The 27,604-nt window shown below is 45.1% G+C and overlaps 1 protein-coding gene and 2 long non-coding RNA genes across 9 annotated transcripts in view, besides 5 other annotated features; 2 read left to right on the top strand and 1 right to left on the bottom strand.

The window, feature by feature from the left end:
- Nucleotides 1-467: 467 nt before the first annotated feature.
- On the bottom strand, nucleotides 468-1,944 carry LOC124907784 (uncharacterized). Its single transcript, XR_007086495.1, has 2 exons — nucleotides 866-1,944; nucleotides 468-664 (listed from the first exon to the last, which is right to left on the bottom strand). It is a non-coding gene; the product is annotated as an uncharacterized LOC124907784 (long non-coding RNA).
- A 992-nt stretch (nucleotides 1,945-2,936) lies between these two features.
- On the top strand, nucleotides 2,937-19,624 carry LOC105374780 (uncharacterized). 5 transcript variants are annotated; one of them, NR_187891.1, is made up of 5 exons: nucleotides 2,937-3,157; nucleotides 3,702-3,802; nucleotides 5,480-5,579; nucleotides 16,961-17,533; nucleotides 19,377-19,624. It is a non-coding gene; the product is annotated as an uncharacterized LOC105374780 (long non-coding RNA). The 5 variants fall into 5 exon arrangements; NR_187888.1 differs by lacking the exon at nucleotides 5,480-5,579; NR_187889.1 differs by lacking the exon at nucleotides 5,480-5,579 and having other exon boundaries at nucleotides 2,937-3,443.
- Nucleotides 21,307-22,113: an enhancer, noted in NCBI's record as "OCT4-NANOG-H3K27ac hESC enhancer chr2:65664483-65665289 (GRCh37/hg19 assembly coordinates)". NCBI's record gives its function as "activates a minimal SCP1, AML or CMV promoter by ChIP-STARR-seq in naive and primed H9 embryonic stem cells {active_cell/tissue: H9 hESC(naive and primed)}" and the evidence as "EXISTENCE:reporter gene assay evidence [ECO:0000049][PMID:30033119]".
- Nucleotides 22,708-22,866: a silencer, noted in NCBI's record as "fragment chr2:65663730-65663888 (GRCh37/hg19 assembly coordinates)". NCBI's record gives its function as "represses an EF-1alpha promoter that drives an FKBP-Casp9 reporter gene in an ReSE screen in K562 erythroleukemia cells {active_cell/tissue: K562}" and the evidence as "EXISTENCE:reporter gene assay evidence [ECO:0000049][PMID:32094911]".
- Nucleotides 23,233-23,352: a silencer, noted in NCBI's record as "silent region_11583". NCBI's record gives its function as "represses an Ori minimal core promoter by ATAC-STARR-seq in GM12878 lymphoblastoid cells {active_cell/tissue: GM12878}" and the evidence as "EXISTENCE:reporter gene assay evidence [ECO:0000049][PMID:35858748]".
- Nucleotides 23,513-23,752: a silencer, noted in NCBI's record as "silent region_11582". NCBI's record gives its function as "represses an Ori minimal core promoter by ATAC-STARR-seq in GM12878 lymphoblastoid cells {active_cell/tissue: GM12878}" and the evidence as "EXISTENCE:reporter gene assay evidence [ECO:0000049][PMID:35858748]".
- The window catches only part of SPRED2 (sprouty related EVH1 domain containing 2), a 125,425-nt gene continuing 124,683 nt past the window's right edge, over nucleotides 26,863-27,604 (top strand). For all 3 annotated transcript variants that reach the window (XM_005264202.6, XM_005264200.6, NM_181784.3), the window contains exon 1: nucleotides 26,863-27,500. In XM_005264202.6, coding sequence (XP_005264259.1) covers nucleotides 27,475-27,500 — 26 coding nt within the window. In that variant the 5' untranslated portion in view covers nucleotides 26,863-27,474. The remainder of the gene's footprint in view (nucleotides 27,501-27,604) is intronic.
- Nucleotides 26,961-27,160: a silencer, noted in NCBI's record as "silent region_11581". NCBI's record gives its function as "represses an Ori minimal core promoter by ATAC-STARR-seq in GM12878 lymphoblastoid cells {active_cell/tissue: GM12878}" and the evidence as "EXISTENCE:reporter gene assay evidence [ECO:0000049][PMID:35858748]".

The following is a 27,604-nucleotide window of genomic DNA, read 5'->3' as shown; positions in this document are numbered from 1 at the left end:
AAGCAAGACTCTGTCTACAAAAAAAAAAAAAAAAAGAAAGAAAAAAAGAAGAGAAAACTGCCACAACCTGAAATAGATCATCCTTGCAGGAGGCAGCCCTGTCCGAAGCCTGGGTCAAGTTAACAATCCTCCCTGCAAACCCACGCTGAGTGTCCATTCAGCATACTCAGGAGCTGACCAAAGAGGGTGCTGGCTCCCCTGCTCCTTCCTCCAGTCTGGTGCACCATGATGACTGTTTGGAAGTTGACTTTGATAGACAAGAGGATGTTTGTGCACTGCTGGAAGAGACTGTGAAGGGTGAGTCAGAAAAAGGCTGGGAAACAGATGAGGGGGCAGAGAGATGGGAAGTTTGTAGCCAGGAGACAACTTAGGGAATGTCTGGGAAATGAGGAGGAGGGGAGGCTGGGAAAGGGTCAACGAGCAGTGGCTTATCTGAAAATCCTTTAGTATAAAAACAACAGAGGAAGACTTATTTGGTGTTGTTTATTTACCTACTACAAGTTGACACTGAGGGGTAGGTGAGCAGCCCCTATCTCTGTTTTCTCATCTTCTAAGGGAGCATAAATTTCCTTCCTGACTCTTTCAGACAAGCCCTTCTTTCCTTGGCAAATCACTGGTCTTCTTCACCTCAATGTGCCCAAAGCAGGAACACAGACATTTGGAGCTGGAATGTGCATGAAGAAATTCTAAGAGGGCATGGGTGGAAACAGGAGGACCAGTCTGAAGGTCTCTGCAATCTAGTGACCAATGAGAGTGGTCTAGACAGGGGGTTACAGAGGAGGTGGTGAGAGGTGGTTGGATTCCAGATGCATTTGAAGGCAGAAGTCAGCTTTCCACAGATGCCTTGCCTAGAAACATCACTGACCTTTTAGATTTCCCTTCAGTATTCCCCTCTCTGTGGTTTGTATTCTTGAACTGGAGGGCTCAGTTTCTTATAGCAACAAGGTGAGTTGGGGTATGGACAGATGAAGACAGATCCATCTCTGATCCTGGAGACACCATTCGAAGGGCACATCTTCCTAATGAAAATCAGCCAGCAACATCAAAGGAAGTTAAGTCCAGCTCAACACTCCACTTTTCCAGGAAGCCTCACTCTCCACAGTGTGATGGCTTCCTTCTATGAGCTCAACGGCAGTCTCATCTATAGTAATAACATCCTACCTGACATGAGTATAGTACTTTACAATTCTTTCATACCATTTGGGGAGGTTCTTCCTAACCCCTCGATTAAGGTGGGCCCCCTGTTGTATGTTCCCATAGGACCTTATTCTTCTCCTATTCCAATTTTCACTATATGTTATTGTAGATGCTTGTTTAATTACTTGTCTTTCCCGCTAGATTGAAAAGCTTTATGAGGAAAAGACAATGTTATAGCCTTAGTACCTACCACAGTGCCTGGCTCATAAGAAGCATTCAGCATATCCCTACAATTGAATGGATAAATGATCATTAACTCTTTTAATCTTCAAAACAATTATTCCAAAGTGGGTGGTACTGACTCCACTTCATTGATGAGGTGAAGGAGCTGCTGAGAGACTATGGTCACATAGCAAGTTAGCAGAGGAACTGGGAATAGTACCAGGGTCTAGGCTTTTTCCACTACACTCTACCTGGAACAAAAAAAAAAAATCCATTCATTTAATCAATCAATATATACTTATTGATTATTCTCTATGTCAGGCTCTATTGTATGCTGATAGAAGGACAAACAAAAAAAAGGTCAGATTTGCATTTGGATGCTATTAAAAGAAACCAAATGCAGGGAAACGGACATACAAACACATAATTGTATTAGAGTGTAATAAATACCACAGAAGCTCTAGGAGGACTGTCTAACTCTGCTCATAGGAGGAATGTCCAACTCTACCTTTAATAGGTTCCATTTGATCTGGGTTTAAAAAAAAAAATAGGCCGGGCACGGTGGCTCATGCCTACAATCCCAGCACTTTGGGAGGCCAAGGCAGGCGGATCATGAGGTCAGGAGATTGAGATCATCCTGGCTAACACCGTGAAACCCCGTCTCTACTAAAAATACAAAAAATTAGCCAGGCATGGTGGTGAGCACCTGTAGTCCCAGCTACTCGGGAGGCTGAGGCAGGAGAATTGCTTGAACTCAGGAGGTGGAGCTTGCAGTGAGCTGAGATCGCTCCACTGCACTCCAGCCTAGGCGACAGAGTGAGACTCCATCTCAAAAAAAAAAAAATAATAATAATACTAGGTGTGGTAGAACAGGATGGGGAAGGTTATTAAGGGAAAAGGTGAATGGCTGGTGCCTCCAAAGCTGGGTACCCTTGTTTCCTGCTCTGTGACTAAAGATTCTTAATCACATATTCCACCCAAACCCCAGCAGCTTGCCTCAGGAAATGGAGGAATCAGTCCCGGGAGCCCAGGATTGCTTAACTCAAAAGTAGCCAAGACAGGAGACTCATAATGTGGGGCCAGGTTGCCTTATAAACATCCCTGGAGCTTGCCTACCTGGGCTACTACGAACTGATTAAAATGTCATCATATGAATGGTGTTTGTTATTGCTTCTCAGCCTTTTGGTTAAGATCAAGTGTAGTATGAATGGTGTTTGCTGGATTCAGGCAGTGTTCAACCCTCACTTATCACACAGAGTGGCCCGAACACTTCATTTTGATCAATGTATAAAATTTATTTTTGTGACAAGTAAAAGAACACTGCAGGTCTTTTGACATGGAATAAAGTGAGGTACAAATTGCTGTGGGTAAGAGACAGTTGGGGCCAAAGGAAGATCACTGGTTTATGGAGACTTGGGAGAATCTGCCTCCTAAGAATAAAATAAATCAGCCAGGGGCAGTCAACAGTCCTTCCTTCATCAAGAAATGGCACAGAAGGGCAGCCAAGAGGTTATCCTATGAGCATTGTTATGTCACAGTAGGAATTGGAGTCGGGGGGAGGGGACGGGGTTGGGGGGAATTACCATTAGCAGTTGAAGTGGTAGGAAATTTTTACATAGGAGAGTATGGTGATCATATTTGCATTTTAGAAAATAATGGATAGCAGTTTGTTAGGGGAACAAAGGACAGAGACAGGGAGACTATTTAAAACATTAATAAAAAATACCAGTGACAGATGATGAGGCACCTACCTGATGGGAATGGAGAAGAGGAGATGGATTCAGAAACTACTTAGGAGGTACAGTCATCAAGATCTAGATGACTAATTGCATGTAGGGGGTAAAAAAGTAGGAAGAAGAGAGGATGATGACTCCTGCATTTCTGGCTTGGGAAAGTGGTTAGATTGTGGGCTGGATGTGTGCATGATTATGTGTGTGTAGCTGAAAAGGCAATTTAGCTTTGCAACTGTTGAAGTGAATATGGACCATAGACATAGATATCCCTAGGTAGCTGAATATGTAGCCTGCAAATCAGGAGAAAATTCTAGGTGAAGATGGTAATTGCGAATCATCAGAGTCTATATGGTAAGTGGGAGTGGATGAGGCAGCCCATGTAGACAGACCGCAGAGGGAGGAGAAGGCCGAGGACCAAACTTGCAGAACACCCACATGTGAGGGGCAACCAAAAGCAGCTGCCTGTGAAGGAGATTGAGGAGTCAAGCCACACAAACTCAAAACTGTAAACATCATTGGGAGCCTTAGACAGTCTAGCTCAGTTGGAGTTGGATTTGACTATATGTAACAGAAACCCAACTACAGTGTACTAACAGACTTCTTATTCAGAGGCAGGCAGTCCAAGGCTGATGCCCAAAGAAGCCATCAAGACCCGTGCTACTTCCAGCTCCTTCTGTCCTCATAATCATAGATGATTGCTCCACATCCAGGTATTAAGCTCTTATTCCAAGCAGGAAGGGGAAGGACAAAGGGCAAAAGGCATTTGCCAAGTCTCTCCCTTTTTATGAGGAAAAACAATCATTTTCTGATAAGCCCTATTCACTGGACTAAAACCTACAACCCATTGGCCAAGATTGGGTATATGAATATATCACTGCATGAGTACCAGGGCAAAATGAGTATTTTTTTAAACTTTTTGCTTTGGAATAATTTCAAATGGACAAAATTTGCAAAAGTAGTACAAAGAATTCTTGTATTTTTTCACCCAAAATTTCCCAATACTAACATTTACCACAATTACTTTATCATTTTCTTTCTCTCTCTCTCATGCATGCGTGATGCTCATTTACTTCTAGTTTGGTATGTGCTTCCTAAAAATAAAGACTTTCTCTTACATAACCACAGTACAATGATCAAAATCAGAATATTAACACTGATACAAGGCTATTATTTAATCTACAGCTTTTGTCAATTGTCCCACTAATGTCCTTTATAACAGAGAAGAAGCTTTTTTTCTGGTCCAGGAACCAATCCAGGACCAAACATTGCATTTCGTTGTCATGTTGGTTTAGTCTACTTTAACATGAAATAGTTCCTCAATCTGTCTTTGCCTTTCATGTTGTTGGTATTTTTGAAAACTGAAGTCCAGTTACTTTGCAGAACATCCCTTATTTGGGTTTGTCTGACAGTTCCTCAGGATTCAGGTTAGGTATTTTTGGCTAGAATACCACAGAAGTGATGCTGCAACCTTCTCGATGCATCATGGCAGAAGCTACCCTATTTTGACTTGTTCTGTTACTAATGATATTAGCTTTGATAACTTGGTTAAGGTGGTAAGGTAGTATCCGTCAGATTTCTCTACTATAAAGTCCCTATTTTACCCTTTGAAATTAATAAGAATCTGTGAGGAGAGGCTTTGAGATGATATAAATATCATGTTTCTCATCAAAACTTCACCCACTAGTTTTAGCATCCATTGATAATCCTTGCCTGAAACAATAAGATGGTAATTTTCTAATTCTGTCTTTCCATGTATGAGTTTGCCTTGCACCATATGGAAAGCTTTCCTTTCTCCACTTATTCATTTATTTCCGTACGGACTCAAAGATTTTTATTCTACTTGATAAGTTACAACCCATTACTATCAGAGTTTATTTTAACATGGAATTGTCCCAGATTGGCCATTAGGAACCCCTTTAAGCTGGCTCTGTGTCCTATTGACATGTCCCCATCATTCTTTGGGGACTTTTCTTATTGAGATTATTATTTTTAACAGGGTACATTGCTACCTTGATAAAATCAGCCTTCTGTTAATAAGGAACAAAAGGAGAAACAAAAATTGTGTGGGCAACCAGAAGTGTCTACCACACCTAGCTCCTCACCAGCCAAGAGGTGGTGGCTTGAATCCAGGCTGACAGCCTTGCTTTTTTCTAACATAACAACTTTGTGACTACATTCCAAAAAGAGCCTTGAGGCCATTTAATTCCATCCATTCTTCTCCTCACTGTAATCCTTTATCACTTATCCAAACTGAGTGCTCCTAGAGCCAGGTCATCTGTGTTGCACAACTCCTGGAGGTGCCATTCATATTGCAGACTATGAATGATGTGCTAGAACAGGAGCCAGCAAATTTTCTTTCTTTCTTTCTTTTTTTTTTTTTGAGACAGGGTGGAATGCAATGGTATGAACACAAGGCTCACTACAACCTCTACCTCCTGGGCTCAAGCGATCCTCTCACCACAGCCTCCTGAGTAGCTAGGACTACAGGTGCACACTGACATGCCTGGCTAATTTTTTTCTTTTTTTTTTTTTTTTTAAGAGATGGGGTTTTGCCATGTTACCCAGGTTGGTCCTGAACTTCTCAGCTCAAGCAATCTGCCCATCTCAGCCTCCCAAAGTGCTGGGATTACAGTGGCATGAGCCACTGTGCCTGGGCAATAAACTTCTATAAAGGGCCAGATAGGGCCAATAGTCTCCACTGTGTGGGCCACACAATCTCTGTTGCAACTACTCATTTCTGCTGTTGTAGTGGGAATGCAGCCATAGACAATGTTTAAATGAGCGGGCATGGCTATGATCCAAAAAAACTTTATTTATGGACACTGACATTGAACTTCATATCATTTTCATGTATCATGAAATGCTCTCATATTCATTTTTAAAAACCCATTTAAAATGTAAAAATTATTCTTAGTTTGCGAGCTATACAAAAATAAGCAGCTGGCTAGATCCGGCCATAGTTCACCACCTCCTGCTCTGTTCAGTCTGAGCCATCTTGTGCGGTGCTCCTGCCTCTGGAGGTCTCTTCTCCCTTACCCTAATCTCCAATCTGCTATCCTGCTCTGGGCTTCCTCTCCACCTTCTACCTTCTTCCTTCCCAGATCTTTCTTCTGTGCCCTGCTTTCATTCAATTGTATATAAACTTCTTTCCACTTTTAACCTCCTGGCTCATTCCTTGCCTTAACTGAAAAGTAACTGTAATCCCTAAGGAACATGATTCCATTGCTGAATTCTAGAAAGGATGCTACTCATTTTCCCATGCCCCACAACCCATGGGTATGGAAAGTGGTACTGGCGCTCTCCACATTCCTCAATCCTACTTCTAAACCTTTAGCTCTTCCAACCTCCAGCAAAACTCCCTCCTCCTTTGATGCTCTACCATCTGAGTCTTTGAGCAATAGCTAACATATGCTGAGCAATATCCTGAGCAAAACCAGGAGACAGGTACAATTGTTATCCCCTACTTTGCAGAGGCAACGAGGGGTTAAAGTCACACAGCCAATAGTAAATGGCAGAGCCAGGATCTAATCCCAGCAGTCCACACTTACTCCCAAGATGTTACACTGCCTTTTCTCTATGACCACATGGATCACCATCCTCCATTCAAGCCTCTGAATTCCATTATCTCCTGGATCAGTTAGGTACCTGGGCGGAAACAGGTGCACATTCAGCCTGAGTCATTTGAAAAGGATCTAGTCAAGGAAATATTTACAAACGTGTAGAGCAGTGTTGCTCAACCTTTTGTCATTATCTCCTTATTTCATCCTAAGAGAAAAATTTAAATTTCCCTTGACAAAATTTTGGTGAGTAGGGTTGAGCTTTGGAGGCCAACAAACCATTTCATATCTAAGATTGTTTTGCTCCCCCAGACTAATTTTCACCCCTTTAGAGGCAATATTACCCCCATTTAGAATGTAAGAATGCATGGAGAGGGAAACCATAGTGATACCACAGCCCTCCAGGCTAGTGACTGAGATACCATCTCAAGGCCAGAAGTGGTGAGGGAGGGAGGTATTACTGGAAGTCGGAGACATCTGAGAGCTGTGACATTCTGTCAAGAGATTGGTATGGCCCCAGGACTGATCCATTCTTCACACTACAGTGAAAGTCATCTTTCTTTCTTTCTTTCTTTCTTTCTTTTTTTTTTAGAGATGGAGTCTTGCTCTGTCACCCAGGCTGGAGTGCAGTGGCCTGATCTCGGCTCACTGCAACCTTTGCCTCCCGGGTTCGAGTGATTCTCCTGCCTCAGCCTCCCGAGTAGCTGGGATTACAGGCATGCGCCACCATGCCTGGCTAATTTTCTGTATTTTTAGTAGAGACAGGGTTTCTCCAAGTTGGTCAGGCTGGTCTCAAACTCCCGACCTCAGATGATCACCCGCCTTGGCCTCCCAAAGTGCTAGGATTACAGGTGTGAGCCACTGCGCCTGGCCGAAAGTCATCTTTCTAACTGGAAACAGTGGGCGCCTTTGGAAGACAGAACTGGATAGTGGAAACAAGCAGGAAGAAGACCTTTTCAGCTTTTGAAGGCTGTACAATATGCATGTATCATCTAATTTTAAAATAAAATGTAATTTTAAAAATTGACCTAAAATGCAAATATGGTCATTCTTTCTCATGCTCAAAACACTTCAGTAGCCCATCTGCCACCAAGTTAAAATCCAAATTCATCCACATGTCACACAAGGCCCCCGGCATATTTCTTTAGCCCATCTCTGCCACTCTCCACCTCAAAACCTGTGTCCAGACATGTGAATTGCTGAAAATTGAGTGCATTCCCTAAGCAATGGTTTTCCTTTATTGCCAATTTGCTCATAATACCATGTTGTATCAGACATCTGTTTCTTATACCTGCAGTTTCCACATGCTAGAACGCAAAGCCTCTCCCTCTCCTCTACTTTTCTTCCTGGTGAATTCTTCATTCTTCAAGATCCAGTTAAAATTACCTCTCCTGGCTCCCACTCCCACTTCCCAGAGAACAGTTAACAACCTTCTCTGTGTCACCACTGTACAGTACAGTGATTAAGAATATAAGTTCTAATGCCAAACTATGTGGGTTTTGATCCTGGATTTGCCAATTCAGTTGGTCACATTGGGCATGCTACTTAACCTCTGTGTTTTGGTTGTCTTATTTATAAAATGGGGATTCAAATAGTTTCTATCTTAGAAGGAGAGCCTTCATTCATTAAATATTAACTAAGCATTTGTTTTTCTATATTGAAACCAACCAAAATTCCTGCCCTGGTGGAACTTAGATAGATTCTAGTGCAGGGGTTGGCAATCTACAGCTCCTGACCAAACTTAGTCACTTGTTTTATAAAGTTTTATTGGTACATGGCCACACCCTTTAGATTATGTATTATCTATGGCCACGTGCATGCTACAAAGGTTGGGTTCAGTGGTTGCAACACAGACCATATGGCTTGTACAGCTGAAAATATTTACTATCTGGCCCTTAAAGAAAAGGTTTGCTGTCCCTTGTTCTAGTGAGATTAAAGTAGTTCACACATGTAAACATGTAAAGTGTTTAAATTTTTGAATCATTGACTAGCACTTGGTAAGACACTCAATTAATACCAGCTTTATTAATATGATTGCATTCCTTTACTGTAGCACCTAACACCAGTACTCAGTTAAATTTTTTGCTGAATAAATCAATGAATGGAGAGGTAAAGAGGAACCAGAAGTTGGGGTTACAGAAGTCACTGATGGAAGAGTTTCAAGATAGTAGAAGTGGTCAGCCCTGTTAAGTGACAAGCCAAGGACTGAAGAAAGACTGGCAGATTTGGCAATCAGATGAAGTGACCTGACCAAAGAGCAGCTTGTGTGAAGTAGTGAGGACAGGCGCTGGTCTGCGACTGGTTTAGGAGGAAATGGAAATGAAGAAGAAGAGATAGGAAAGTGGAGATTATATGATGACAAGTATCAAGATAAAAATGAACACATTTGGCCTGCTACCTGAATTTTTTAAATCGGCTCACCAAAAAATATCAGGCTTATTGAAATATTGGAATATCTGATGAAGTTTCCTCTTATCTTTGAGCTGTTTGGGTTTGGGTAAAATTTCAATGCTTAAAATTCACGTCTACAACTAGCAGGCAGAACCTTAAAGTCCAGAACCATTAAAGGGTTTAATAATGGTGAGGCATATGATGATGCTGATGATGATAATGTTTCTTTCTTTCTTTTGTGATCTTAATCACTGTGTGATCTTAACTAGTTTGAAATGAGAATTTCAATGGAGACAGTAGTGTAAATTTACCAACAGAACAATTACAGTCGTGACAAAACAAAAACTATACAAGCATATTTTTGTTCATTCTATAAATTTGTACTGAGTACTTTATATACACTAGGCATTCTGACAGATATAATTATGTGGGTATAAAATTTAGTTTATTTGATAGTTGCTTTCCCCACCGCCTCCAGAAATTCTTGATTTAGTTGGTAAAGAAAATCAGTTAAGCAAATAAGTTCACTATTTGTAGAAGTGTAGATGGGTTATGGTGGGGGCACAAAATAATAAAATAATGTATTTAAAACTATTTTCACATCTGTGAAAAGCTCTATACATCTGTGGCATTAAGACTAAAGAGAATGGTATCAAGTCATAGCTGCTTTCTAGAAAACATGCATGAGACATTTAGGACCTCTGCATATTACCACTGAGTTGTTTTTCTTTTAAGGGGCTACAAAGGAGTATGTTCAGCATGATCTTATTTTTATTAAAATTATACTTTCTATACAGAAAAAGACTATAAAAATACACACTTAAAACATTAGCAGTGACCCACAGCTAGTATCATACTGAATGGGGAATAACTAAAAGCCTTTTCTCCATGATCTAGAACACAACAAAAATGCCCATTTTTACCACTATTATTCAACTTAGTACTGGAAGTTCTAGCTAGGGCAATCAGACACGAGAATGAAATAAAATGCATCCAAATTTGAAAGGAAGAAGTGAAATTATCCTTGTTTGCAGATGATATGATCTTATATTTGGAAAAATCTAACAATTGCACACACACAAAAATATCTATTAGAACTGATCACTGGGCATGGTGGCTAACGCCTGTAATCCCAGCACTTTGGGAGGCCCAGGTGGGTGGATCACGAGGTCAAGAGGTGGAGACCATCCTGGCCAACATGGTGAAACCCTGTCTCTACTAAAAATACAAAAATTAGCTGGGGGTGGTGGAGCGTGCCTGTAGTCCCAGCTACTCGGGAGGCTGAGGCAGGAGAATCGCTTGAACCTAGGAGGCAGACGTTGCAATGAGCCAAGATCGCACCACTGCACTCCAGCCTGGCGACAGAGCAAGACTCCATCTCAAAAAAAAAAAAAAAAAAAAAAAAAAAACAAGAACTGATCAACAAATTTAGTAAAGTTGCAGGATACAAAATCTACACAGAACCAGAAGTGGTGGCTCATGCCTGTAATCCCAGCACTTTGGGAGGCCAAGGTGGGTAGATCACTTGGGCTCAGGAATTCAAGACCAGTCTGAGCAACATGACGAAACACCATCTCAAAAAAAGTGCAAAAAATTAGCCAGGCATTGTGGCACACACCCAGCTACTAGGGAGGCTGGCAGATGGCAGGATGCCTTGAGCCCAGGAAGCAGAGGTTCCAGTGAGTCAAGATCACACTGCTTTCTAGCCTGGGCAACAGAGCCAGGTCTGTCTCAAAAAAAAAAAAAAAAAAAAAAAAAAAAAAAAAAAACTCAACACACAAAAATCAGTAGCATTTCTATATGCCAACAGTGAGCAATCTGAAAAAGAAATTTTACAAAGTAATCCCATTTACAATAGCCACACATAAAATTAAATACCTAGGAATTAACCAAAGAAGTGAAAGATATCTATAATGAAAATAACAAAACACTGATAAAAGAAATTGAAGAGGACACACAAAAAAGGAAATATATTCCATGTCCATGGATTGAAAGAATCAATATTGTTAAAATGCCCATACTGCACAAAGCAATCTGCAGATTCAATGCAATTCCTATCAAAATACCAATGGCATTCTTCACAGAAATAGAAAAAAAAATCCTAAAACTTATATGGAACCACAAAAGACCCAGAATAGCCAAAGCTATCCCAAGCAAAAAGAACAAAACTGGAGGAATCACATTACTGACTTCAAATTACACTACAGAGCTATATTAACCAAAACAGCATGGTACTGGCATAAAAACAGATACATAGACATATGGAACAGAATAGAGAACCCAGAAACAAATCCACACACCTACTGTGAACTCATTTTTAACAAAGGTGCCAAGAACATCCACTGGGGAAAAGACAGTCTCTTCAATAAATGGTGCTGGAAAAACTGGATATCCATATGCAGAAGAATAAAACTAGACCCGTATCTCTCACTACATAGAATAATCGTATCAAAATGGATTAAAGACTTAAATCTAAGACCTCAAACTATGAAACTTCTACAAGAAAACATTAGGGGAAAGTCTCCAGGACATTGGTCTGGGCAAACATTTCTTGAGTAATACCCTTCAAGCACAGGCAACCAAAGCAAAAATGGACAAATGGGATCCCATCAAGTTAAAAAGCTTCCACATGACAAAGAAAGCAATCAACAAAGTGAAGAGACAACCCACAGAATGGAAGAAAATATCTGCAAACTACCCATCAGACAGGGGATTAATAACCAGAATATACAAGGAACTCAAACAATGCTATAGGGAAAAATCTAATAATACAATTTAAAAATGGGCAAAAGATTTGAATAAACATTTCTCAGAAGAAGAGATACAAATGGCAAACAGGCATATGAAAAGGTGCTCAGCTGGGCACCGTGGCTCATGCCTCTAATTCCAGCACTTTGGGAGGCTGAGGCGGGTGGATCACCTGAGGTCAGGAGTTCGAGATCAGCCTGGCCAACGTGGTGAAACCCCGCCTCTACTAAAAATACAAAAATTAGCCAGGTGTGGTGGTGTGTACCTGTAATCCCAGCTACTCAGGAGGCTGAGGCAGGAGAATCGCTTGAACCCGGGAGATGGAGGTTGCAGTGAGTCAAGATCATGCCACTGCACTCCAGCCTAGGCAACAAGAGTGAAACTCTGTCTCAAACAAAAAAAAAAAAAAGAAAAGAAAAGGTGCTCAACATCACTGATCATCAGAGAAATGCAAATCAAAACTACAATGAGATATCATCTTAACCCCAGCTAAAACAGCTCGTAACCAAAAGACAGGCAATAACAAATGTTGGCAAGTATGTGAAGAAAAGGGAACCCCTGTACACTGTTGATGAGAATGTAGATTAGTACAGCCACTATAGGGACAGTTTGAAGGTTCCTCAAGAAACTAAAAATATGACTACCAAATGACCCAGCAATCCCACTGCTAGATGTGTACCCAAAAGAAAGGAAATCAGTATATTAAAGCGATATCTGCACTCCTATATTTGTTGCAGCACTGTTCACAATAGTCAAGATTTGGAAGCAACCTACATGTCCATTAACAGATGAACAGATAAAGAAAATATGGTACAAGGCCGGGCGCAGTGGCTCACATCTGTAATCTCGGCACTTTGGGAGGCCAAGGCAGGCAGATCACGAAGTCAGGAGTTCGAGACCAGCCTGGCCAACATGGTGAAACCCCTCTCTACCAAAAATACAAAAATTAGCCGGGCATGGTGGTGCATACCTATAATCCCAACTACTCGGGAGGCTGAGGCATGAGAATCACTTGAACCTGGGAGGCGGAGGTTGCAGTGAGCTGAGATCGCGCCACTGCACTCCAGCCTGGGCAATAGACTGAGACTCTGTCTCCAAAAAAAAAAAAAGAAAAGAAAAGAAAAGAAAAAAGAAAGAAAGAAAATATGGTACATATACACAATGGAGTGCTACTCAGCCATAGAAGAAAATGAGCTCCTGTTATTTGTAACAACATGGATGGAACTGGAAATCATTAACTGAAATAAGCCAGGCACAAAAAGACAAACATAGCATGTCTTCACTTATGTGTGGGATCCCAAACATCAAAACAATTGAACTCATGGAGATAGAGAGCAAAAGAATGGTTACCAGAGGCTGGGAAGGGTAGTCGGGGGTGGCAGTGGGGAGATGGAGACAGTTAATGGGTACAAAAAAATAGAAAGAATGAATAAGACCTATTATTTGATAACATAACAGGGCGACTATAGTCAATAATAATTTAATTGTACATTTTTTAAAAAATTAGTCGGTGGTGGCGGGCGCCTGTAGTCCCAGCTACTCGGGAGGCTGAGGCAGGAGAATGGCGTGAACCCGGGAGGCGGAGCTTGCAGTGAGCCGAGATCGCGCCACTGCACTCCAGCCCGGGGGACAGAGCGAGACTCCGTCTCAAAAAAAATAAAAATAAAAATAAAGAACTTAGAGTATAACTGGATTGTTTATAACACAAAAGATACATGCTTGAGGGGATGGATACCCCACTTTCCATGTGATTATTATGCATTGCATGTCTGTACCAAAATATCTCATGTACACCATAAATATATGCACCTACTATGTACCCACAAAAATTAAAAATTAGAATTTTTTTTTTCTTTTTTTTGAGAGGGAGTTTCGCTCTTGTTGCCCAGGCTGGAGAGCAAGGGTGTGATTTCAGCTCACTGCAACCTCCGCCTCCGGGTTCAAGCGATTCTTGTGCCTCAGCGTCCCGACTAGCTGGGATTACAGGCATGCATCACCATGCCTGGCTAATTTTGTATTTTTAGTAGAGGTGGGGTTTCACCATGTTGGTCTGGCTGGTCTTGAACTCCTGACCTCAGGTTATCTACCTGTCTCGGCCTCCCAAAGTGCCGAGATTACAGGTGTGAGCCCAGACCCCCAATTTTTTTTTTTTTTTTAATGTAAAAACATGGCCAGGCACGGTGGCTCACATCTGTAATCTCAGCACTTTGGGAGTTCAAGGCGGGTAGAGCACTTGAGCCCAGGAGTTAAATACCAGCCTGGGCAACATGGCAAAAACCCATCTCTTCAAAATATACAAAAATTAGCTGGGCATGGTGGCACACAACTGTAGTTCCAGCTACTTGAAAGGCTGAGGCAAGAGGTTAGCTTGATCCCGGAAGGCGGAAGCTACAGTGAGCCAAGATCATGCCATGGCACTCCAACCTGGGAGACAAAGCGAGACCCTGTCTCAAAAAAGAAAAACCCGGTGGGGTGCGGTGGCTCATGCCTATAATCCTAGCACTTTGGGAGGCCGAGGTGGGCAGATCACGAGGTCAAAAGATCGAGACTATCCTGGCCAACATGGTGAAATCCTGTCTCTACTAAAATACAAAAATTAGCTGGGCGTGGTGGCATGTGCCAGGTACTCGGGAGGCTGAGGCAGGAGAATCGTTTGAACCCTGGAGGTGGAGGTTGCCATGAGCCAAGATCACGCCACTGCACTCCAGCCTGGCGACAGAGCAAAACTTCTTTAAAAAAAAAAAGAAAGAAAGAAAAGAAAGAAAGAAAGAAAGAAAGAAAGAAAGAAAGAAAGAAAGAAAGAAAGAAAGAAAGAAAGAAAGAAAGAAAGAAAAGAAAAATCAACCATTAATAGCAGGGGTTATATCTGAGTGGTGAGATTACTGGGACATTATTCTTTTCTCAATACTTTTTTGCACTTTAACTGTTTATACAGTGAACAAGGCTTACATTTCTTTTTACTTTTCTTTTTTTAAAATTGAGACAGGGTCTTGTTATGTTACCCAGCTAGTCTCGAACTCCTGAGCTCAACCAATCTTCCTGCCTCAGTTTTCTGAGTGGCTAGGACTATAGATATGTGTCACTGCACTTGGCTATTTTTTTTTTTTTTTTTTTTTGAGACGGAGTCTCGCTCTGTCGCCCAGGCTGGAGTGCAGTGGTGCCATCTCGGCTCACTGCAAGCTCCGCCTCCCGGGTTCACGCCATTCTCCTGCCTCAGCCTCCTGAATAGCTGGGACTACAGGCGCCCACCACCATATCCGGGTAATTTTTTATATTTTTAGTAGAGATGGGGTTCCACTGTGTTAGCCAGGATGGTCTCGATCTCCTGACCTCATGATCTGCCCGCCTCGGCCTCCCAAAGTGCTGGGATTACAGGCGTGAGCCACCGCGCCCGGCCAAGTTTTTTTTTTTTTTAAATTAAGGCTTGTGTTATTTCATAAGCACAAATAACAATGGAAAAAAAACATAGAGTTTTATACAGCAACAATAAGTTACAAGCATATAACGCATGCTTGTAAGCATACATAGGCTAGAGGTTTTTACATTTTTGTAGATTGCCCAATGTTAAGTTGTTACACAAAAAGCACCAAAAATTTCTCAGCCTACAAATATCAGCAGATGACATCTCAAAGAGATATGTCTAAAAACTGCTGCTTAGTCCTCTTCTGCAAGGTGGCAAACCAAGCCCAGGCACCCGCTGCTGGAAGACTGAGATTTACTTACAACCCTGCAGAGCAGGGAATGCACACAATGAAGCCATGCTGTGTGAATCACTTAGTTTGGCTGAAAGTAACAAGACACAGAATAAAGGTGGCTTAAATAATAGACGCTTACTACTTCACATAATGTGAAGTCCAGATATAGGTAGTTTCCAAGACTGGTTATGTCAGTTATCTTGACGATTTCAGGATTCTAGGTCAGCTTTCCTTTGACTTCCATGGCTTTCCCCTCCTGGTAGCTCCTGGCATCACTGCTTCACACAAGAACTTCTAAAGGCAGGAAGGGGTGGGTGGTGGCATTTCTGCTCACTCATCTTTCTTTTTCTCAGGGATTCAAATCTTTCCCAAAATGTCTGTTCCTAGCAGACATTTTCCTACATTTTATTGGCCACACTGTGACAGTTCGGTGTAAGGAAAAGCACAGGGAAAAAAACTATGCTCAGTTAAAAGAAGAAACACAGCCATCCCTAAATCAAGAACTGGCCCAGAGAAGGGGATTACCATGATCATCATTATTGCCCTAGACCAGCAGTGTCCAATAGAATTTAATGTGAGCCACAAATGCAAGCCATATAAATATCCCTGAGTCAGTCTTTGGAAACCTAAAAGCAAGTCTTCATTTTCTCTTATGTGAATGAATTACAACAATGATAAGCAACACTGCCTCCCACCAGCATAATTAGCAGTGGGTGCAAAAGGTGTATCCAGCATTATTCCAACAAAGTCACATCGATTATAAAATTTGGACTCTGAGTTCCCCGAGTTATGGTTTGGTGTGACTCTGACTATCTGTGTGACATAATTGAGTTACTTTGCTTATCTGGGCCCCAGTTTCCTCATCTTAAAACAGGTAGTTCCTTAATGTCCTTTAGAACTCTAGTACTACATGGTTTTATGCTATAAAATCGGCTGGAGCACCTTCCCAGCCACCTGACACCAGCAAGCCCAGGGCCTTAGGCAAGGACACTTGAGAAGCCATTCAGGATACTTTCTCTGATGCTGTGGAGTAAAATGCACTTTTAGAGGGAAAGAAGAAAGCAAGTTGTGCTGACTTGTCGTTCATTTACTCAGTAAGCATCACAGGGCATGCACTATGTGCCATAGTGGCTCAAGATTGAATAAGAGAGAATAAGATGTGGTCCCTGCCCTCAGTAAGCTTACAATCTAGTGGGAAGGAAATGTAGAAGAGCAATTACCGAAAGGTATGGAGAGGACTGGGACAGAGGAGAGGGTATACATGCCTTGCACCTCGCCCAGTTGAGGTGAGATGAGAGAAGGCTTCCTGGAGGAAGTTTTATCCAAATGAGGCCTGAAGGAAGAGTACTTGGTTGCCTCTCCTGGCATTGTGGGGAACTGTCTGGCCTAGCAGGCATGTCATCATATACTCTACCTGCTTTTCTTCTTTTCTTTGACTTGCTGTTTTTCTATTCCTTTTTTTTTTTTTTTTTAACAGAGTCTCGCTCAGTTTCCAGGCTGGAGTGTAATGGCGTGATCTTGGCTCACTGCAACCTCTGCCTCCCAGCTTCAAGTGATTCCCCTGCTTTAGCCTCCCAAGCAGCTGGGACTACAGGCATGCACCAGCATGGCCGGCTAATTTTTTTTTGTATTTTAGTACAGATGGGGTTTAACCATGTTGGCCAGGATGATCTTGATCTCCTGACCTCGTGATCTGCCCACCTCGGCCTCCCAAAGTGCTAGGATTACAGGCGTGAGCCACCTTGCCCGGCCTTCTATTCCTTTTTCTAATGCATTTGCCCCAGCTATCTGTATAGCCTGCAATCTGGTAGATGGACCACAGGGAAACCACTGCAGCAAACTAAAAGTGTCTATCTCAGATCCTTCCACCACCATCATTTCCAAAATCACCGTCACTATCTCCACCACCATCACCTTTACCACCATCACCACTATCATCCTCATCCTTCCCATCACCATCTCCACTGCTATCTCTCAACACCATCATCATCACCACCACCACCATCATCACCATGAGCACCACCTCTGTCGTCATCAAAAAAGCACACAGGTGAGCCTTGCTTTAACTAATCCCAAAACTATATTTAAGATATGAGTTCTATGAACAAATTCAGGAATGATTATTTGCTTTTCCAAATTATCTAATCTAAAGTAACCCTAAATAGTTAAGCTTCCCTAGTGTTTTTAAAATGTGCTTTGGTTTACAAACATTTTAATTGCCCAGATCTCTTCAGTAGCATGCCTATTTTAAGATGTAAGCATAACAGAAATAGGATTTTCAAGCTGACAGAGAAGGGCAAGTATAAAAAGTTTTTAAGGACTCTTTCTTGATTCATTAAATTAATTGAGAAGAGTTTTATAGCATGCACAAATCTACTAAACATTAAGCAGTTTTAGTTGGCCATAAATCAGGGACTGTAAAGGGAAAAGTGAATTTCATCAATAGTACTGCTATATAGAAATAGTATATCTATATAAAAATATACTTATGTAAATACATGATACATGTACTTATATATGTATCATGTTTATATTTTATATTTGTATATGTAAGTATACAATATATCATATATGAGATAAATGTATATTATTATTACAAATACCCTGGCTGGGCACGGTGGCTCACACCTGTATCCCAACACTTTGGGAGGCCAAGGCAGGAGTATCATTTGATCTCAGGAGTTCAAGACCAGCCTGGACAACATAGCAAGACCTCATCTGTACTAAAAATTAAAAAAATTAACTAGGCATGATGGTGACCACCTGTAGCCCCAGTCACTAGGGATGCTGAGGTGGGAAGATCGCTTGAGCCTGGGTTGAGGGTGCAGTGAGCCAAGATTGCACCACTGCACTCCAGCCTGAGTGACACAGCGAGACACTGTCTCAAAAAAAAAAGCACAAAAACAGGCCAGGCATGGTGACTCACACCTGTAATCCCAGCACTTTGGGAGGCCAAGGCAGGTGAGTCACTTGAGATTGGGAGTTCGAGACCAGCCTGGCCAACATAGTGAAACCCCATCTCTACTAAAAATACAAAAAAAATTAGCTGGGCATGGTGGTGCATGTCTGTAATCCCAGCTACTCAGGAGGCTGACGCAGGAGAATTGCATGAACCCAGGAGGTGGAGGTTGCAGTGAGCTGAGATCACACCACTGCACTCCAGCCTGGGTGACAAAGCAAGACTCCATCTCAAAAAAAAAAAAAAAAAAAAAGAAAGAAAGAAAGAAAAAGAAAAAGAAAAAAACCACCAAAACAAAAACAAAAAACAAATATCTTTTTCTATGTTGTAAAATTTGGGTTAGGGGTTGAGGTAGATTATTAAGATGGCTACAGATTCCTCTCATCTTGTATGCACATCCCTTGTGATATGACTTTGCCATTCTTCTCATCAACAAGGAGAGTCTATGTCACTACTCCTTGACTCTGACTCTGGGTTGACTGTGTGACTTCTTATTTTCTTTGTTGTTTTTTTTTTTGAGACGGAGTTTCGTTCTTGTCGCCCAGGCTGGAGTGCAATGGCATGATCTCAGCTCACTGCAACCTTCGCCTCCTGGTTTCCATTGGTTTTCCTGCCTCAGCCTCCCGAGTAGCTGGGATTACAGGTGCCTGCCACCACGCCCAGCTAATTTTTTATATTTTTAGTAGAGACAGGGTTTCACTCTGTTGGCCAGGCTGGTCTTGAACTCCTGACCTCAGGTGATCCACCAGTCTCGGCCTCCCAAAGTGCTGGGATTACAGGTGTGAGCCACCGCGCCTGTCCAACTGTGTGACTTCTTTTGCTAATGGGATAGTAACAAATGTGATGCAAGCAGAGGCTTAACAAGTACATGCACATTGGGGGTTGTTCTCTCTTGCTGATCTGGGAACCCTGCCACCACCACCATGTGATGCAGTTCAGGCTGGCCTGTTGGAGGATAACAGATCATGTGGAGCAGAGACGAGCTGGCCCACCTCAGGCCCTACCAGAGCAATCAGCTTGCCAAACACGACATACATCAGCGAGGCCATCCTAGACCATCCAGCCCTAGCTGAGCCAGCCCAGACCAGAGACTCATGAGAAACAGTAAAATGTTCATCATTTTAAGCCACTAGATTTTGTGGTGGTTTGTTATACACCAAAAGCTAACTGATACAGGGACCATATCATATTGTATTTTGTTTTCTTCCTTTCTCCATTCCAAAAAGGTTGGGTAAGATGTTTGGTTTACTGAAGTCAGAGTTGCCACAACATACGATCCTTCATTTTCTTCCAATTCTAAAAGCTCTGATTCTCTTATATTATTAAGCTTCCTTTCCCAGCTTTGGTCTTTACAGAAGGGACGGGAAATAAAGGTAGTAAAAATGAGGCATGTTTTTAGGAGTGAGAAGGGAGGTGAACATGTGAATTAAGGTGGTGATGGTAGGATGCTGAGACTAAAAACAGAGGACAGCACAACCCATAAAGTGTTGACTAACTTCCTGGGAGAAGTTTGTTCTAGTAAATCAGAGTCTCTATGAAACTCCCTGGCAAAGACCCCAGATGTCCCTGTGTTAAATTGCAAACACACATTCTAAAATTCCCCTTATGTTCCATTCCTTAGTTCCTCTCAATCTTTTTCACTATCCAAAGTATGGTTTTCTACTTTGTTAGCTAGAATTTTGGGGGCTCCAAGTGACAAAAGCCCAACTCAACCTAGCTCAAGCAAAAAACAATATATTGGCTTTTACATCTTAAAAGTCCAGATCATCCTCAGGCTTCAGGCAAGATTGAATCCAGTTGCTCAAAAGATGTATTCAGGGAACTGTCTCCCCATCTCCACCTCCAGGATCTGCTGCACTCAGTCTTGTCCTATGTATATCCCTCAGTCTCTGACCTATTGTGTGGGTCCCAGACTTGTGTGGCAGCAACTGCTCATCGTGCTTCTCCATCTTGAGTGATCCCAGCCTTCTTCCTACTCCCCACTTATTACCCTAATCATGTTAAGAGACCAGAAAACACCCAATTTCCCAAGGAAAAGGGAAAGAAACTTGGAATTTATCCTAGACCTCTCAATGAGCCCCCATATCTAACAGATCATAAAGCCAAGTCATTTCTACCCCATTTGTGTCTTTGGAATTGGTTACTTCTTTCCATGGCCCTTGTCACTGTGCTTTATCATGCATTGTTACTCCTGTCATGGAAGAGGAAAATTTCTCCCAAACCAGTCTTTGCTCTGCTCCCAACAAACCATCCTTCAAGCCTAGAATAACCTATTAAAGTATAAAACCTGAGCCTAGCATTCCCTGCTTAAACTATTTGGTTATGTAACTTGTAAAACTTGTTCCACAAATTTGGTGATTTTCTCAGCTGATCACTTGAGCCCCTCCAGCTCCCCTGGTGGGAGAGAGCCTACTTCTCTTAGGTTGGGTTCCCTAGAAACAGAGCCCAAGCTGGGATCAATGTTCATTGTTATTTTAGGAGCCTCACTGCTCCCTGCCTGTGGGCTGCCTGCCTAGGTAGAATACAGTGTCTTTGGTAAGGAGATTGGGGATTGGCCTCCCAAGAGGCCCAGCGCTCCTCATGCAAATTGCTTTTACCCAGTGACAAGCTCTACCAGCCTGGGGTCTCAGAGTGGGGCCTTCACCCAGTCACAAAACATCCTGTTATGCCAGGGGTCAAAAGCTCAAATGCCTCCAGGAGCCAGAAGCCTGACAGACAGGGCAGCCTCCACTCAGCAACCATCCACTGTTACCCCGCAGAAATCTGGCACTCACAGTTGCTAAGTCTTTAATTTTTTTCAGGAGGAACCAAAAATATTGAGTTTTATGTGAAATATTCTGGTTTTAAGCTGTTAGCTTGATTAAAAAACAACAACAACAACAAAAAAAAACAGGCAAAACAAAACTTGTCTGGGGCCTTATCTGGCCTAGGAGCTGTCAGTTTGTGAATTTGGTTTGATGCCCTAATCCCAGAACAATGGATGCCCACTTGCCCCACATTTGCATAACTTTGGGAGCCACTGCAGTGATCTGGGACTAGACAAAGATCAGCTGTGAATCGACTACAAAAGGTTCCATGATTTCAAAATAAAGGGTAACCTTCTTCAGCAAGGCCTGTGTGACCTCCCTGACCTGGCTTCTACCCTTCTCCACCCTTTCCCGCACCTCCTTCCCCCTCCTCCCAAAGTTATTTCGCACCTAGGGCCTTTGTGGTAACCCGGCTCTTTATCCCCGAGATCTCTCCCCTTCCAGTTATCTAAGGGCACTCCCAGCATCTTTCAAGGATCCTTTCCCTGACCCCTGCTTTCTCTTCTGCTTACTCCATTTTTCAGAGCTGTTACCTCGCGGCCTCATGTGTTTTTTACATGCCTGTTGCCCCAGCTGACCGAATCCCTGGAGGGAAGGAGCCTGGGTTTCTTCACTCCTGTATCCCCACTGCCTCATAGAGCCCTGGTGCTTTCAAGGCAGACTGGAGCAATGGGTATCCAGTGAAAAAAATCATGACCTTGACCATTGCCCTTCACATGTCAGAAATGCATTTGTGAAGAACTGGCCATTTTTATGTTAAGAAATTAAGTTGAAATCTGGTATTCATGAGAAGACGAAAACTTGCTTCATCCTTTAATTTTTAAAATGACTACCTATTGTTGAAAAACTGTTGGAAAAAAAATACGTTTTAAAACTTACTCAGCTTTGGACCTCGCTGAGGCTTCCAAGAGGTTCTGGAACTAGAGAATGGCTACAGTGACCAGCATTCGCTTTTCTCGAGACCCTCAAGGGTTCTCAGGGCTCATCTTAAAGTGGGGGATGAGAGGGGAGAGGGGATGTGTGCTGCCTCCCTGGGAGGGCAGAAACCAGCTCCTCTGAATGAAACAGCACTTTCCACAGAGACAGCGGCCTAGGGTGTGAGGGCGAGCAAGCCGCAGTCGAAAGCCCCTTTGCATAATCCATTCTTAAATTGACTGAGGCTTGTACAGTTGTAAACTGAAACTCCAGAGGCAAACCCTGAGCGGTTACATTTTCTCGAAAAGAATGTTTCCCAGCCTGTCAATTATTTCCTGGTCTCCGTCCCTCCCCAACGCGCGCACACACCCAACTTTTAGTAGCCAGCTGCCTTGACATTGAGTCTCTCTCCTACCTGAAGTGGAGCACCTCAGGAAGCAGCGAGGCTGCCGTTTCATTCATAATACATGAACTCAGGGGAGGAGGGAGGCGGGGGCAGGGGCCTTTCATCTCTGCTATTTAAAATCCCGGCATTGCAGCTGAAAGGGAAAACGACCTGGGATTGAACGGCACCGGGGATGAAGCATTGCACGATAACGGCACAACCGAGCGCGTCAGCGGCCCGCCCGCCGGCTATTTATACCGCGCGGATTATGCAATCGGGCTCCAGCCATTCATGCCCCGACTGGGCCGCCGCACGCCCGGGGCGGGGGGGCCTCATTCCCGGGCGCCGGGTCAGTTTCTAAGTTTGCATCATCCCCTGCATTACGAGAGAGCTTGGGTTTCCATTCCTGCCAGCGGGGCTTGGGGGAGACAGCTGGGCTACAAACTCACTTGGCACACACGACTGCTTACTTAAACATCATAATAAAGGCACCAGATCGCCCGAGGCGCGGCCCGGCCGCGCGCAGGGTTGAGCTCGGGGAGACCGGAAGGAACTGATAACCGAGCGCTAATGACACCCCCTCCCTCCGCGTCGGAAGTGTCCTCGGAGCGCCGGTCATTGAGAAATACCGAAGGGGCAGAGTGGGGGTGAAGCGAGGACAGGCCCGGGCGCAGCTGCGCGCGCCTCGCGGGGCGGGGAGCGGGGGCGCCGCGGCAGCGGGGGGCTTCTGCAGGCTGGGCCGCGGCGGGGCGGTGCGAACCTTTGGGCCCCGTGGAGTCCTCCCTAAATCACCCCCTCCCCGCCCCTGGGAGGGGGGAGGGCGAGTGATTGCTCAGATCCCACCCCCGCCCCTGGGGAAATCTACACTGCCGGCCCTACCGGACGAGAGGGGGGAGAAGGACACGAACGAGAGAGCGGATTGCAGAGGAGGCTAAAATGTCCGCTTCTCCTGGCGCCCGAGCCAGGCGGGAGGGGTGGGGGCCGCGGACGGCTTCCCAGTGAAACAGGACCTGCGGGGCTACTGAGCATGCCCGTCCCCGGCCGCGGAGGGTCGCTCCGGCTCCGCGCTCCGGACTTTCCGGGCAGCCCGCGGGAAGGGCCGGGGTGGGGGTGCTCCCTCGCCCAGGACTCGGAACTGAGAAGCCTGTAGGTGGGGGACCTGCTGGGGGCCCCGCTGGGTTTGCGTGAAGTTGTGAGCAGATCGATATTACTTTTGAAGCTTTACGATCCTACTCTGACTGAGCACTATTGATTTGATCGTGTTCAGAGATTCCCGCAGCCCCCTGTTCTGCCGGTTGTGGGGAGAGACAGGGATGTGGGTCCTTAGCTCTTTCAGCAGTGACATCAATTAAAGCCCTAAATCTGTGATATCCCCTATTCCAGCAACAATCCAATGGACTTTGATAACACCTTGATGTTCAGATCAACAGACATATCTGAGTTATTCGCCCAATGTCCTCATTTATTCTATGGAGCTGCAGGAGTCAGACTTGCCTCAACCACAGTAATTGATGGGGAGGACCAAGAAGTGACCTGCTAGTAATGTTTCCATCAAAAGGCCCCTTTTGGGTGTTGAACAAGACAGAAGAGAACTGGCAGGCTTCATTTAAAGGAACATGAAGGACAGAGTGGAGGGGGGCATTTGGTAAACCAGCTGGCCAGAGAGAGGAAAGGGCTATCAGGAATCTGTATAGCCCATTTAAGATTCCCAGCAACCCTATGTTGTGGGTACTATTCCGACCCAACAGACACTGAACCCAAGGCTCAGTGGACCTAAGGGCCTGCCTGAGATAGCCCAGCTGGAGTATGGTACCAGGTGATCCCAGTGGGGACTTGGGGACTTCTGGACCTCAGAATATTTATCATTGTTCCCCTGGCAACCTGGTCCATAGGCTGGGCCAGTCGTTCGCTGCTATTAAGCAGAGAGCTGGCTGAGTGAGTGGTGATGACACCAATTTAACCTGCTCATAGAGCTGGCCTACCTGCAGAAATTAATCACCTCACCTGCCACCTTGCCATTTGTGTACCTTGAAACTGGAGGGTGGAGCCCAAGAGATGCCCACAGGGTGGATAATTTTGACATGGGTAAGTGCCTGTGTTCTGGGAAGTTCAGGAATAACAGGGTGGGATCTCTTTCAGCACTCCCAGGGAGAAGAGCAACCATGGCCAAAGGTGAGACTTGGGTAGATTCCTTAGCCATCTGAGGATTTGGAAGACAATGAGATCTTGCCTTTGCTTAGTACTTTCTCAGGAACTCTCAATGGCCTCAAAAACTGATAAAGACAAGCTTGGCCTTGTTATTCCTGTTTTATAAAGAAACTCACTCGGGGTCTCAGGACTGCTAGGAGAAAACCAGAACCAAGCTGTTCCATCCCCTGGTTCATGCCCTCCCCACCACCACACATCACCAGCGTGAACCCTACTCCATGTCTACAGAGATCATGGCTGTGATAAGCACAAAGCCTGGAGTAAACCACCAGTTTATCCCTGACTCAAGGTGAAACTTTTTGGAGCATTTGTGGCTCTTATATGTATGTAAATTTTAGGAATACTAAATTTGAGGCATTTATTTATTTATTTAGAGACAAAGTTTTGCTCTTGTTGCCCAGGCTGGAGTGCAATGGTGCAATCTCGGTACACTGCAGCCTCCTCCTCCTGGGTTCAAACAATTCTCCTGCCTCGGCCTACTGAGTAGCTGGGATTATGGGTGCCCACCACCACACCCAACTAATTTTTATATTTTTAGTAGAGACAGGGTTTTGCCATGTTGGCCAGGCTGGTCTCAAACGCCTGACCTCAGGTGATCCGCCCACCTCAGCCTCCCAAAGTGCTGGGATTACAGGCATGAGCCACTGCGCCCAGCCTGAGGCAAATATTTAATCTCTTAACCTGTTCAGTGGTTGCTATTTAGTTAACATCGTATCTGGATTGTCCCATGGACATTCAAGAGGATGGAAAAGTCTACTGTGTTTGGAGAGCAGCAAGGGATAGGGACTATGTCTCTTGTTTCTTTTTCTTTCTTTCTTTCTTCTTCTTTTTTTTTTTTTTTGAGATGGAGTTTTGCTCTTGTTGCCCAGGCTGGGGTGCAGTGGCACAATCTTGGCTCACCGCCACCTTCACCTCCTGGGGTCAAGCGATTCTCCTGCCTCAGCTCCCGAGTAGCTGGGATTACAGGCACGCGCCACCACGCCCGGCTAATTCTGTATTTTTAGTACAGACGATGTTTCACCATGTTGGTCAGGCTGGTCTCGAACTCCCGACCTCAGGTGATCTGCCCGCCTCGGCCTTCCAAAGTGCTGGGATTACAGGCGTGTGCCACCGCGCCCGGCCGGGGCTGCTTCTTAACGCGAGAAATTCCATAATTTCTACGGAAATGCAAACGTTTCTGGGCTGTGCTGGGTTGACCTTTTTCTTTGCATGAGTAATGATTCTTAAAAACATCCGTTCCTTGGCCGGGTGCGGTGGCCCATGCCTATAATCCCAGCACTTTGGGATGCCGAGGCAGGCGGATCACGAGGTCAAGAAATCGAGACCATCCTGGCCAACATGATGAAACCCCCTCCCTACTAAAAATACAAAAATTAGCTGGGCGTGGTGGCGCGCGCCTGTAGTCGCAGCTACTCGGGAGGCTGAGGCAGGAGAATCACTTGAACCCAGGAGGTGGAGGTTGCAGTGAGCCTAGATCGCGCCACTGCACTCCAGCCTGAGGACAGAGCGAGACTCCATCTCAAAACAAAACAAAACAAAAATCCATTCCTCTATTGAGACAAAAAAGAAAAAAAATCACAAGATTCACGTGAAACGGAAAAGCCTCTGCCTTTCAGAACCTTGGCAAAGTCGAACCCCCTCCCCTCTCTGGTTGGGTTGGGCTGGAGAAGCCAGCCCCTGGCACCTGCGCCGCCCCTACCTTCCCACCCCGCGGTGGGGGTAGTTGTGCCTCTGAGCCTGAGCACCTCTTCAGCTGTTTTACTCCCTCCCCTCCCTTGAGTTTCCCATCTCTGCCCCCGCCCAACCCCCCGATTTTTAATCTTGGTGTTTGGAAGGAGGGAGGGGGCAAAAACGGGAGCCAGATGTGTACGAGTCCTCCGCTCCCGCCTCCTCCCTCCTCTCGGGCTTCCTAAAACCCGGAGCCCTAATCAAGGAGGATTCGGAGCCAGACGGTCGCGGCGCAAGCAAACAACTCGGCTCCGCGGCTCCCCCGGGAGTGGAAGCCAGGAGGGAGGGGGAGAGGAAGCGGGGCGTGCTCAGTAGGCGGGACAAAGTTTTTTTTTTTTTCTTCTCCCTTTTTTTCGGTCGCAAGTAGGAAGCTTTTTGCACTCCACCACCTCTGGCCGCTGGGAAGACGTCATCGCTTCCGCCCTACTTCCTCCTCCTGTTGGCGGCGGTGAGAATCCAATATGGAGTAAATCGGTGGAGTCGAGAGATGGGGCTCGGACGGGGCGCCCTGCACCGCCTCCCAGGCGCACCTCCCCCGGCCGCCGACCGCTCCCCGGAACCGTGATTGGCCCGGCCCCCCGGGGGCGACCCCGGACTGAGCCCCCCCACCCGCGGCCGGCGCTCTCCTCCTCCTCGCAGCAGTCCCTGCCGCTCCGAGGCGCGCTTGTTTTTCTCCTGCTCTCCCCCACCGCCGTCCCCTTCCCAAATCTCGCCCCCTCTGCCCGCTCCCGAGCCCCCGGAGCCTCCGCCCGCCTCTCCCCACGGCGCTGCGGCGTTCACTCCCCGCGCAGCCTGCCTTTGCACCCCTTCCCCCAAACCCTATCCCGCGCCCTGCTTCCCCTTCTGCTGCGGCGCCCTCTTCATCTCTAGCCGCCCCCCCTCCCCAAATCAGGCGATCTCCGGAGATGTGAAGAAGGGGGGCGAGCGGACAGGAAGATGAAGGGAGCAAAGCTGCCCGCCGCGGGACAGGCGTCTAGGTGAACAAGAAAATGACCGAAGAAACACACCCAGACGAGTAAGTTTGGTCGCGGGGTGGGACGAGGGTGCCCCTCAGGGGCAGCGTGGGGGCCGGGGCTGAGGATGCGGGCGGGGACGCTTATTGGGTGAACTTGGCGTGGG

Source organism: Homo sapiens, chromosome 2, assembly GCF_000001405.40.
Source record: "Homo sapiens chromosome 2, GRCh38.p14 Primary Assembly".
Classification (NCBI taxonomy): domain Eukaryota; kingdom Metazoa; phylum Chordata; class Mammalia; order Primates; family Hominidae; genus Homo; species Homo sapiens.
This window is presented reverse-complemented; position numbering and strand designations above follow the sequence as displayed.